Source organism: Homo sapiens, chromosome 14 (assembly GCF_000001405.40).
Source record: "Homo sapiens chromosome 14, GRCh38.p14 Primary Assembly".
Lineage (NCBI taxonomy): Eukaryota > Metazoa > Chordata > Mammalia > Primates > Hominidae > Homo > Homo sapiens.
This window is the reverse complement of record NC_000014.9, coordinates 31664030-31678280: the sequence shown is the minus strand read 5'-3', so window position 1 is coordinate 31678280 and position 14251 is coordinate 31664030. Positions and strand designations below refer to the sequence as shown.

At 38.4% G+C, this 14251-nt stretch overlaps 1 protein-coding gene across 12 annotated transcripts in view; it reads right to left on the bottom strand.

The window, feature by feature from the left end:
• The window catches only part of NUBPL (NUBP iron-sulfur cluster assembly factor, mitochondrial), a 299821-nt gene that overhangs the window by 182944 nt on the left and 102626 nt on the right, over positions 1–14251 (bottom strand). For 10 of the 12 annotated variants that reach the window (NR_120408.2, XR_007064050.1, NM_025152.3 and 7 more), the window contains 2 exons: positions 4887–4926; positions 4707–4797 (listed from right to left, as the gene is read on the bottom strand). Coding sequence is in view for 10 of the 12 variants with exons in the window: in NM_025152.3 (NP_079428.2) it covers positions 4707–4797; positions 4887–4926 (131 nt within the window). In the remaining 2 variants the exon portion in view is untranslated. The remainder of the gene's footprint in view (positions 1–4706; positions 4798–4886; positions 4927–14251) is intronic. The other 2 variants (XM_047431787.1, XM_011537181.3) reach the window with 1 other exon arrangement.

Below are 14251 nucleotides of genomic sequence, written 5' to 3'. Positions count from 1 at the left end.
TGGAGCACCATGTGGGGTCCTAGGTCCCTTGGCTCTTGGATGGCATTTCTGGACCTGCTCTGGGCCAGAGGGGAGCCCACTGCCCTGAAGAGTGAGTCTCAGGCCTGACAACCTTCACCACGAGCTGACTGAAGAGCCCTGGGGCCTTAAGTGAACATCAGTGGAAGCCTAGAAGTATGCCCTGTGGGTCTGTAGTGCTGGTGGCCACAGAGTGAGGCTCCTCTGCCTGTGGAAAGAAGAGGAAAGAATGGGAAGAACTGCACCTCATGCTTTGACTGCCAACTCAGCAGCAGTATAACAGAACACCAGGTAGACTTCTAAGGTTTCTGACTCCAGTCTGTGGCTCCCAGATGGCATCTCTGGACCCACCTGGGGTCTGGGAGAACTCACTGCCCTGAGGAAAGGACACAAGCCTGTCTCGCTTTGCCACCTGCTGATCGTACAGCTACAGGGCCTTGAGCAAACATAGTCAGTAGCCGGATAGTGGTAACAGCAGGACAAGACCCAGTGCTGTGCAGGCTTCAGGTCTGACTAGTGCAGTCACAGTGGTAGAGGACACAGGGGTGCTTGTGTCACCCTATCCCCAGCTTTAGGTAGCTCAGAACAGACAGAGAGAGATTCTGTTTGTTTGGGAGAAAGTAAGGGAAGAGAACAAGAGCCTCTGAATGGTAATCCAGAGAATTCACCCACATCTTGTCCAAGACCATCAAGGCAGTACCTCTGCACGTCTGCAAGAACCAAGCATTACTAGGTTTGGGGTGCCCCCTAAAGCAGATACAACTTAGATCACAACACTCAAGTCCTCTCAAATATCTGAAATAAGCCAGACATAGAAAGATAAACATCACATGTTCTCACTTATCTGTGGTACCTAAAAATTAAAACAACCGAACTCATGGAGATAGAGCATAGAAAGATGGTTACCTGAGGATGTGAAGGGTGGTGGGGGTGGAGGGAATGGGGATGGCTGATGGGTACAAACAAACAGAAAGAATGAATAAAACCTAATATTTGCTAGCACAACACGGTGACTGTAGTTATAGTAAAAAATAATTTGATGGTACATTTTAAAATAGCTAAAAGAGTATAATTCGATTGTTTGAAACACAAAGGATAAATGCTTGAGGGGATGAACACCCCATTTACTCTGATGCAATTATTACTCAGTGCCTGTCTGTATCAAAATATCTCATGTACCCCATAAATATACTAATCTACTATATACCCATAAAATTTTTAAATTAAGAATTTTAAAAAAGAAAAAAAAATAAATACATTCTTATCATTATAACCTTGGGGTAAACAGGCAAAGATTTCTTAAAGAGGATACAAAAAGCACTAAGCATAAAAAAGATAAGAAATTGGAATTCATTAAAATTCAAACTCCAGCATAAAAAGACAAGCCACAGACTGGGATAAATACTCCCAATATCTATTACCTGACAATGGACTCATGGCCAAAATACGTACAAATTCCTACAACTCAATTACTAAAAAATAAATAAATAAAAATAAAAAATAAAAAATAAAAAATGAGTAGAAGACTTGAACAGACACGTCACAAAAGAAAATATGAGATCTAATACACATGTGGAAAAGGGCTCAATATTATTGATCATCAGGGAAACACAAATTAAAACCATAACAAGATACATTTTATATCTATTAGAATGGTTAAAAGTAACGAGACTGACAACACCAAATGTTAACACAAATGTGAAGCAACTGGAAAACTTCTGAACAACTGTAAAAGTATTATAGAGGTATTATTCACAATAGCCCAAAACTGGAGACCACCCAAATATTCATCAACAGAAAAAAAAAACATTTTATTATATTCATACAATGGAATCCTACTTAGCAATAAAGAAGACCCAACTACTATTATATGCAACAATAAACATGAATTTCAAAAGCCTTAGGCTAAGTGAAACCATATAAAAAAAAAGCTACATCCTGGACGGTTGCAGTGGCTCACGCCTGTAATCCCAGCACTTTGGGAGACCGAGACGGGCAGATCACCTGAAGTTGGGAGTTCAAGACCAGCCTAACCAACATGGAGAAACCCCGTCCCTACTAAAAATACAAAATTAGCCAGGCGTGGTGGCGCATGCCTTGTAGTCCCAGCTACTCAGAAGGCTGAGGCAGGAGAATTGCTTAAACCTGGGAGGCGGAGGTTGCAGTGAGCTGAGATGGCACTATTGCACTCCAGACTGGGCAACAAGAGCTAAACTCTGTCTCAAAAAAAAAAAAAGCTACATCCTGTATAATCCTATTCATTTGAAATTTAAAAACATGTAAAACTCACTACGGTGACAGAAATCACAATGATTGTCTATGGGTATGGGATGAAACAGAAGGGGACCCAAGGAAACTCTCTTGGAGGATGGAAATGCTATTTAGTTTGATTGGGTTATGATTACATAGGTATATATATTTATCAAAAATCACTGAATTATATACTGAAAATCTATGCATCTCATTGTATGCATAATTTTAGCTCAACAAAGTATTGTCAGGGAGAAAAAGAAAAAAACAAAACAACTTTAAACCAGACTTCTAGTTCAGGATATCAGAATGACCACAGTATTTTTCTTCTCCCCATAAATGGGTACTAGGAGGGAACATGAGAGGATGTTCTGGATCACTGGTTTTGTTCTAGTTATCTTGTTCTAAATGATGATTATATAGGTGTTTCAACTTTGGGATAATTTATCTAATTATACTCATGATTTGTACATTCTTCTGTATATATGTTATATTCAATTGTTTAAAATGAGCCAATGAATCAGGTACAAAAGTTCTATCTAGCTACTGAATTTTCATTAAGGATGTTAAATTTACCAAATAATGGTTTGGTTTCTAAATCAAAACAAAAGTGAAAACACTCCTTAGCTCTGATGATCAGCATTAGTCCCAGTGTAGGCCTAAAATACCAGCTTTTCAGCTCCCAATAAAATGCACACATGAAAGTGACTTCACGAAAGACTGTAAGATAGATATACTCTAGGTAACCTCAAAGCATCCCAATAAAATATGAATCCATTTTCTTACCCCATCTTTATCCTGATATTCTATAGTATGTTTGCTGAAAATGTATCCACCATACTTCTCAAAATAAACTGTAACTTTTTTTTTTTTTTTGAGACGGAGTCTTACTCTGTCACCCAGGCTGGAGTGCAGTGGCACGATCTCGGCTCACTGCAAGCTCCGCCTCCCGGGTTCACGCCATTCTCCTGCCTCAGCCTCCCGAGTAGCTGGGACTACAGGCACCCGCCACCAAGCAGGGCTAATTTTTTTGTATTTTTAGTAGAGATGGGGTTTCACCGTGTTAGCCAGGATGGTCTCGATCTCCTGACCTCGTGATCCGCCCATCTCGGCCTCCCAAAGTGCTGGGATTACAGGCGTGAGCCACCACACCTAACCAATAAACTGTAACTTTTATACAATTTATGTGTCAGAGAGCTTGTTTTTGCCAAATCTTCATTTGGACCTCTGCTAGACTACCAAATTCCCTGAATATTTTTTGAGAATAACAACATGTAAAATCTGATGACTGAAGTGTTGTGAAGGTAGCTAAATTCAAAAATCAAAAATATATAATGCAGGCAATTAACACAACTATTCTATATTCTCTGATAGTATTTAGAAGTACAGAAAACAGAGGGTGGGTTAATCAAGACAAATAAAGGTCAAGGTCACAAAGGAATTGGTGGGGATGGGGTGGTTTGGGGATTTTAAATGAAATCACTAACTAGGGGATCTGACAGTAAAAGAGGAGAAAATGAAACCAAGAGACTTAAATGACTAGGACCAAAAATCAAACAGCACATTTATCACAATTCAAGCAGCAAAAGTGGTAGAAAGGCAAGATGTTATAGTGAAAAAAAGAAGAGTTTCAGAGTTCAAGACAGATTTCATCTACTTAATTGTATACCTGAAAATGAATATAGGAGTATCTACCATTAGAATTATCAACCTATTGCATGGTGCCTGACCCAAAGTAGAATCTGAACAAATAAAAGGTAACTGTTATAAGTTGATGAAGTAAATGCAAATTACTTTTAACTTTTACCTAGAAGACAATTACAAACTCAAATCTACTGAGAAAAAAATAAAACTTATTCCAAGCTAACTATAAATAACATATAGCCCAATTGATATTTTTAGATTATCCAATCAAATGTTCTCTTCTTTTCTTAAGGCTAAATTAAAGTTGATTGGACAGATATTACACATGCAAATATATAACCATATATACTCAAAACAAAATTTTACTTTTTTCTGGAGCAATTTTAAATCACAAGTACATTGGTTTATATAATTTTTTTCTACATCTGTAGAATTTCTACACTGCCCTTATAACTCAATATTGACCACAATGAGATTAATCACAAATCTAAAGAAGGAAGATAACTTATAAAAATTGATTTGGTCTTCTTACTGCAGACACAGTCAAAGCAAGAAAACAGTATTAAGTAAGACAATAGAATTTTTAGTACTCACAAGCAATGGGAAAGATTAAATCATGTTAACAGTGAAGTTTGGTCTTGGCATCACATTAACTCATTAGGTGCCATATTACGCATTATACATTCATCCCATCAACTGATTCCTGAATGCAAATTTTAACAATTCTCCAATCAGCAAATGTATTAACCACAGCTTTGCCAATGATAAAATGATATTTAAAGCAATATTCTTACCTGCCTCAACAATTTCTCAATGGCCGACATTACCATAAGGCCTCTCCAAACTACTGGTTCACTTTCTTCAACCAGAAAGCCCATAGACATACTGCAACAGTAACATAAAAATACAACTAATTTGTATAAATTAATCAACATTATTCTGAAAAGTAACATTAAAAATATATATATGCTCACCAAGCAATACCATAATTCAAGAGAGGCCTCATTAGGTTGCCTGGAAAAAAAAAAAATCCTCTCTTTTAGAACAATAAAACACAACACATAAACATTCTGAATTGGGTTTTTTTTTCATCTTTTTAAAAATTTTTTTAATTAACAAAAATTGCATATGTTTACGGGGTACAACGTAATGTTATGATACATGTCTACATTGTAGTAGAATAATAATAAGTAAATAAATAATAAACCATGCTAATTAGCATTCCACATCACCTCACATATTCTTTCTTTGCAGTAAAAACATTTAAAGTCTACTCTTTTAACAATGTTGAAATATACAAAAAATGATTGTTAACAATAGTCACCATGCTGCGCAACAGATCACTAGAACTTATTCCCCCTGTCTAACTGAAACTTCGCACTACTTGACTAACATCTCCCCTTTGCCCGTCCATCCTTCCAGGATCAAAGAATACCAAACTGGAAATACAAATAGGCTACTCATATTGTGCAATTTAACTTTCAACTAAATATAACTCAATTTGCAACAGTTTAAACATTATACCAAGCATACTATTTCCAATAGACACAACATTGATAAATAGTTGGGACATAATTGTATTAAGAAATACTTCAAATACAATTTTAAATATGTTTCTAAAAAACAGCCTCAATACCAGGCACAGTGGGAGGCCAAGGTGGGTGGATTACTTGAGGTCAGGAGTTCTAGACCAGCCTGGCCAACATGGTAAAATGCTGTCTCTACTAAAAATACAAAAATTAGCTGGGCATGGTGGTGCACGCCTATAGTCCCAGCTATTCAGGAGGCTAACATGAAAGAATCGCTTGGACCTGGGAGGCAGACGTTGCAGTGAGCCCACATTGTGCCACTGCACTCCAGCTGGGTGACAGAACAAGACTCTGTCTCAAAAAAAATAAATAACCTCAATAAAACAACTCAACTACAATTTTAAAATGTTTCTAAAAAATAGCCTCAATAACTAATTTTGTCCAATTTTATTCATATACAAAGATACATAAACATATAAATTATATATATGCTAATCTAATATGTGCATACATGTATGTGTATATTTGCATGCACACACACACACACACACACACACACACACACATATCTAATCAGTCCTTCCTACACTGGAGTGTTACTACTTATTTGTTCCTTTACTTAGCTTAAAAAGTATAAAAATCCACAAAAGTAGAAAAACTCAATTTTGAAATCTGAGATGAAAAATTGCATTAATCTGTAGAGAAAAGCAATCTATTGCTTATAGTGAAGTAAAAAAATCCTTTATATAGTCAACAAATGATTACAATAAAATATAATTTGTTTTATCAAACTATCTATGCAATCACCTTCCCACTCACTCTTGCTTTCATATCCTACTTCTCTACCATAACAAATATGATTTGGACAAGTATTGGGCAAAAAGTCTAGGACAAAGTCATAAAACCTAGGAGTATCCTGTTTTCAGATTTCAAGATATGTTCTTCAGGGTTTTTCCCCTCTTGTCAAGAGACTGAGACTGAAAACTGTGTAAAGCATATATGCATGGATTATATAAGAAATCCTCTGCCATATTCCATTCATTGAATCCCTACTCAAAGAAAAAGCCGTGGTCCTTCATTAAAGGAATACTCAATGAGTGTATGTTTATAGTTTCCTTCTTTAATTTCTGGCTAAACTAACTAGCTCAATCTCCCCATACCTAATTTGAAAGCACTATTTTTCTTCTATGTGATTTTCTCAATTCTTTCCAAAGCATCCAATTATAACCTTTCGCTATCACGGTTGGCAATATTTTTGGCCATTTTCTTCAATTACCATATGAATACAGATTAAAGAATCTGAACTATCACATGCTTTTTCACCTTTGATCTGCTAAAACGGTGAGTTACACTAAGAGATTTTTCCTAATTTGGAAACAAACTTGCTTTCCTGGATTAAACCCAATTTAATTATAATGCAGTTGTTTTATAGAATGCTGAATTTGGTCTGCTAATATTTGCTTAATGTGATATCAGTATGTCAAAGAGATATCTGCACTCCTATGTTTACTGCAGCACTATTCGCAATAGTCAAGATATGAAATCAACCTAAATGTCCAACATTAGATGAACGTATAAAGAAAATTTGGTATATAGACACAATAGAATACTATTCATCCATTAAAAAGAATGAAATCTAACTAACTAGGGAGGTGAAAAATCTCTACAATGAGAATTACAAAACACTGCTCAAAGAACACAGAGATGAGACAAATAAATGGAGAAACATCCCATGCACATGGATAGGAAGAATCAATAACATTAAAATGGCTATACTCCCCAAGGCAATTTACAGATTCAATGCTATTCCTATCAATCTACCAATGACATTCTTCACAGAACTAGAAAAAACTATTTTAAAATTCATAAGCAACCAAAAAATAGCCCAAACAGCCAAGGTAATCCAAAGCAAGAAAAACAAAGCTGGAGGAATCATGGTACCCAACTTCAAACTACACTACAGGGCTACCGTAACCAAAACAGCATGGTACTGGTACAAAAACAGGCACATGGACCAATGGAACAGAATAAAGAGCCCAGAAATAAGGCCACACAACTACAACCATCTGATCTTCAATAAAGCTGACAAAAACAAGCAATGGGGAAAGGATTCTCTATTCCATAAATGGTGCTGGGATAACTGGCTAGTCATAAGTAGAAATTGAAGCTGGACCCCTTTCTTACACCATATACAAAAATCAACTCAAGATGGATTAAAGACTTAAATGTAAAAGCCAAAACTATAAAAATCCTGGAAGACAACCTAGGTATTACCATCCTGGACATAGGAATGGGCAAAGATTTCATGACAAAGAAAGCAAAAGCAATCACAACAAAAGCAAAAATTGACAAGTGGGATCTAATTAAACTTAAGAGATTCTGCACAGCAAAAGGAACTATCAACAGAGTAAACAGACAACCTATAAAATGGTAGAAAATATGTGTAAACCATACATCTGACAAAGGTCCGATATCAAGCCTCTATAAGGAAGTTAAATTTAGAAGAGAAAAACAACCCCATTAAAAGTGGGCAAAGGACATGAAAAGACACTTCTCAAAAGAAGACATACATGCAGCCAAAACACATATGAAAAAAAGATCAATATCACTGATCATGAGAGAAATGCAAATAAAGACCACAATGAGATACCAACTCACACCAGTCAGAATGGCTATTATTAAAATATCAAAAAATAACAGATGTTGGCAATGTTACGGGGAAAAGGCAACACCTACACACTGGTGATGGAGGTGTAAATTAGCTCAACCATTCTGGAAAGCATATGGCAATTCCTCAAAGAGCTAAACACAGAATTACCATGCAACCCAGCAATCCCATTACTGGGCATATACCCAGAGGAATATAAATCATTGTACCATAAAGACACATGCACACAAATGTTCACTGCAGCACTATTCACAATACCAAAGACATTAAATCAACTTAAATACCCATCAATGACAGACTGGTTAAAGAAAATGTGGTACATATACACCATGGAATACTAGGCAGCCGTAAAAAAAAAAAAACAAAAAAAAAAACCAAGATCATGTCTTTTGCAGGAAGATGGATAGAGCTGGAGGCCATTATCCTTAGCAAACTAATGCAGGAACAGAAACCCAAATACCACGTGTTCTCACTTACAAGTGGGAACTAAATGATAAGAACTTAGGGACACAAAGAAGGAAACAACAGACAGTGGGGTCTACTTGACGGGAAAATCGGAGGAGGAAGAGAGGAAAAAATATAACTATTGAGTACTAGGTTTAATATCTGGGAAATGAAATATGTACAACAAACCCCTGTGACATGTGTTTAGCTAAGTAACAAACCTTCATATGTACTCACAAACATAAAATAAAAGTTTAAAAAAAAAAAAGCAAAGAAAAGGAAGGAAATTCTGTCATTTTCACAAACATAAATAAGCCTGGAGGACATTAAGTGAAATAAACCAGACACAGAAATTCAAATACTACATGCATTAACAATAAGGTATTGTGTATCTCAAAATAGCTTACAATATTTTAAATGTTCCCACAACAAGGAAATAATGTTTGAAGTGATTAATCTGCTCATTACCCTGATTTAATTATGATACAATGCAATACATATACTGACACATCAAATTGTGTCCCATAAATATATGCAATTATGTGTCAATTAAAAATAAAAATAAAGCCAGGCACAGTGGTGCATGCCTGTAGTCTTGGCTACTCAGGAGGCTGAAGTTCGAGAGTCAATTGAGCCCAGGAGTTTGAGTCCAGCCTGAGTAACATAGTGAGACCCCAACTCTAAAAATAAAATAAATAAAATCATTTTAAAATTTAATAAATAAGGAGCAGGGCAAGATGGGCAAATAGGAACAGTTCTGGTCTGCAGCTCCCAGCGAGACCAATGCAGAAGGCAGGATATTTCTGCATTTCCAACTGAGATACACAGTTCATCTCACCGGAACTGGTTAGAGGGAAAGGGCAGCCCACTGAGGGTAGGCAGAAGCAGCGTGGGGTGTCACCTCATCTGGGAAGTGCAAGGGGCTGGGGACCTCCCTCCCTTAGCCAAGGGAAGCCCTGAGGGACTGTGCCATCCGGCTCAGCTACTAGGCTTTTCCTACGGTTTTTGCAACCTGCAGACCAGGAGATTCCCTCAAGTGCCTACACCACCAGCGCCCTGGGTTTCAAGCACAAAACTGGGCAGCTGCTTGGGCAGACACTGAGCTAGCTGCAGGAGTGTTTTTTCATACCCCAATGGCACCTGGAACCCCAGTGTGACAGAACCGTTCACTCCCCTGAAAAGGGGCTGAACCCAGGGAGCCAAGTGGTCTTAGTGAGTCCCACCCCTACAGAGCCCGGCAAGCTAAGATCCACTGGCTTGAAATTCTTGCTGCCAGCACGGCAGTCTGAAGTCAACCTGGGACAATAGAGCTTGGCACGGAGAGGGGCGTCAACCAATACTGAGGCTAGAGTAGGTGGTTTTCCCCTCACCGTATTAAGGAAGCCACCAGGAAGTTCAGACTGGGTGAAACCCACCACAGTGCAGCAAAGCAGCTATGGGCAGACTGCCTCTCTAGATTCCTCCTCACTGGGCAGGGAATCTCTGAAAGAAAGGCAGCAGCCCCAGTCAGGGACGTAAAGATAAAACCCCCATCTCCCTGGGACAGAGCACCTGGAGGAAGGCGCAGCTGTGGATGCAGCTTCAGCTGACTTAAACATTCCTGCCTGCCGACTCTGAAGAGAGCAGGGGATCTCCTATCCTAGCACTGCATTCAAGCTCTGCTAAGAGACAGACTGCCTCCTCAAGTGGGTCCCTGACACCTGTGCCTCGTGACTGGGAGACACCTCCCAGCAGGAGTTGACAGACACCTCATACAGGACAGCTCCAGCTGGCATCTGGTGGGTGCCCCTCTAGGACGAAGCTTCCAGAGGAAGGAACAGGCAGCAATCTTTGCTGTTCTGCAGCCTCTGCTGGTGATACCCAGGCAAACAGGGTCTGGAGTGGACCTCCAGCAAACTCCAGCAGACCTGCAGAAGAGGAGCCTGACTGTTAGAAGGAAAACTAACAAACAGAAAGCAATAACATCAACATTAACAAAAAGCACGCCCATGCAAAAAACCTATCCAAAGGTCATCAGCATCAAAGATCAAAGGTAGATAAATCCACAAAGATGAGGAAAACCCAGCGCAAAAATGCAGAAAATTCCAAAAACCAGAATGCCTCTTCTCCTCCAAGTAATCACAACTCCTCTCCAACAAGTGCACAAAACTGAACAGAGAAGAGTATGACGAATTGACAGAAGTAGGCAGAAGGTGGGTAATAATAACAAACTCCTTTGAGCTAAAGGAGCATGTTCTAACCCAATGGAAGGAAGCTAAGAACCTTGATAAAAGGTTACAGGAAGGGCTAACTAGAATAACCAGTTTAGAGAAGAAGATAAATGACCTGATGGTGCTGAAAAACACAGCACGAGAACTTCATGAAGCATACACAAGTATCAATAGTCGAATTGATCAAGCGGAAGAAAGGATATCAGAGATTGAAGATCAACTTAATGAAATAAAGCTTGAAGACAAGATTACAGAAAAAAGAATGATAAGGAAAGGACAAAGCCTCCAAGAAATATGGGACTATGTGAAAAGACCAAACCTACGATTGATTGGTGTACCTGAAAGTGATGAGGAGAATGTAACCGAGCTGGAAAACACTCTTCAGGATATCATCCAGGAGAACTTCCCCAATCTAGCAAGACAGGCCAACATTCAAATTCAGGAAATACAAACACTACTAAGATAATCCTCGAGAAGAGTAACCCCAAGACACATAATCATCAGATTCACCAAGGTTGAAATGAAGGAAAAAATATTAAGGGCAGCCAGAGAGAAAGGTCAGATTACCTACAAAGGGAAGCCCATCAGACTAACAGTAGATCTCTCTACAGAAACCCTACAAGCCAGAAGAGAGTAGGGGCCAACATTCAACATTCTTAAAGAAAAGAATTTTCAACCCAGAATTTCATATACGGCCAAACTAAGCTTCATAAGTGAAGGAGAAATAAAAACCTTTAGAGACAAGCAAAAGCTGAGGGATTCTGTCACCACCAGGCCTGCTGTACAAGAGCTCCTGAAGGAAGCACTAAATATGGAAAGGAAAAACCAGTACCAGCCACTGCAAAAACATACCAAAATATAAAGACCAATGACACTATGAAGAAACCGCATCAACTAATGTGAAAAATAACCAGCTAGCATTATGATCAAATTCACACATAACAATATTAACCTTGGCCGGGCACGGTGGCTCATGCCTGTAATCCCAGCACTTTGGGAGGCCGAGGCGAGCAGATCACAAGGTCATGAGTTTGAGACCAGCCTGACCAATATGGTCAAACCCTGTCTCTACTAAGAATATAAAAATTAGCCAGGCATGGTGGTGCATACCTGCAGTCCCAGCTACTCAGGAGGCTGTAGCAGAAGAATTGTTTGAACCCGGGAGGCGGAGGTTGCAGTGAGCTGAGATTGCACCACTGCACTCCAGCCTGGGAGACAAAGGGAGATTCCGTCTCAAAAAAAATAAAATAAAATTATATATATATATATATATATATATATATATATATCTTAAATATAAATGGGCTAAATGCCCCAATTAAAAGACACAGACTGGCAAATTGGATAAAGAGTCAAGACCCATCAGTGTACTGTATTCAGGAGACCCATCTCATGCAAAGACACACATAGGCTCAAAATAAAGGGATGGAGGAATATTTACCAGGCAAATGGAAAGAAAAAAAAACCAGGGTACAATCCTAGTCTCTGATAAAACAGACTTTAAACCAACAAAGATCAAAAAAGACAAATAAGAGCATTACATAATAGTAAATGGATCAATGCAACAAGAAGCATTATCTTAAATATATATGCACCCAATACAGGAGCACCCGGATTCACAAAGCTAGTTCTTAGAGACCTACAAAGAGACTTAGACTCCCCCACAGTAATAGTGGGAGACTTTAACACCCCACTGTCAATACTAGACAGATCAACAAGACAGAAAATTAACAAGGAGATTCAGGACTTGAACTCAGCTCTGGACCAAACAGACCTAATAGACATCTACAGAACTCTCCACCCCAAATCAAGAGAATACACATTCTTCTTAGCACCACATCACACTTATTCTAAAACTGACCACATAATTGGCAGTAAAACACTCCTTGCCAAATGCAAAATAATGGAAATCATAACAAACAGTCTCTCTCTCACACCATGGTGCAATCAAGTTAGAACTCAGGATTAAGAAACTCAATCAAAACTGCACAACTACGTGGAAACTGAAAAACCTGCTCCTGAATGACTACTACTGGGTAAATAATGAAATTAAGACAGAAATAAATCAGTTCTTTGAAACCAATGAGTTCAAAGATACAATGTACCAGAATCTCTGGGACACAACTAAAGCAGTGTTTAGAGGGAAATTTATAGCACTAAATGCCCACATCAGAAAGCTGGAAAGATCTAAAATAGACACCTTAACATCACAATTAAAAGAACTAGAGAAGCAAGAGCAAACAAATTCAAAAGCTAGCAGAAGACAAGAAATAACTAAGATCAGAGAAGAACTGAAAGAGATAGACACGAAAAACCCTTCAAAAAATCAATGAATCCAGGAGCTGGTTTTTTTGAAAAGATTAACAAAATGGGTAGACCACTAGGCAGACTAATAAAGAAGAAAAGAGAGAGGAATCAAATAGACACAATGAAAAATGATGAAAGGGATATCACCACTGAACCCACAGAAATACAGAATACCATCAGAGAATACTATAAACACCTCTACGCAAATCAACTAGAAAATCTAGAAGAAATGCATAAATTCCCGGACACATACACCCTCCCAAGACTAAACTAATACCTGAATAGACCAATAACAAGTTCTGAAATTAAGGCAGTAATTAATAGCCTAACAACCAAAAAAGCCCAGGACCAGACAGATTCACAGACGAACTCTACCAGAGGTACAAAGAGGAGCTGCTACCATTCCTTCTGAAACTATTACAAACAACAGAAAAGAGGGACTCCTCCCTAATTCATTTTATGAGGCCAGCATCAGCCTGGTACCAAAACCTGGCAAAGACACAACAAAAAAAGAGGAAATTTTAGGCCTACATCCCTGATGAACATCGATGTGAAAATCCTCAATAAAATGCTGTCACACCAAATCCAGCAGCACATCGAAAAGCTTATCCACCACGATCAAGTTGGCTTCATCCCTGGGATGCAAGGCTGGTTCAACATACACAAATCAATAAACGTAAGCCATCACATAAACAGAACCAATGACAAAAACCACATGATTATCTCAATAGATGCAGAAAAGACCTTCAACAAAATTCAACAGCCCTTTATGCTAAAATCACTCAATAAACTAGGTATTGATGGAACGTATCTCAAAATAATAAAAGCGATTTATGACAAATCCATAGCCAATATCACACTGAATGGGCAAAAGCTGGAAGCATTCCCTTTGAAAACCAGCACAAGACAAGGATGCCCTCTCTCACCACTCCTACTCAACACAGTATTGGAAGTTCTGGCCACGGCAATCAAGCAAGAGAAAGAAATAAAGTGTATTCAAATAGGAAGAGAGGAAGTCAAATTGTCTCTGCAGATGACATGATTGTTTATTTAAAAAACCCCCATTGTCTGAGTCCAAAAACTCCTTAAGCTGATAAGCAACTTCAGGAAAGTCTCAGGATATAAAATTAATGTGCAAAAATCACAAGCATTCCTATACACCAATAACAGACAAACAGAGA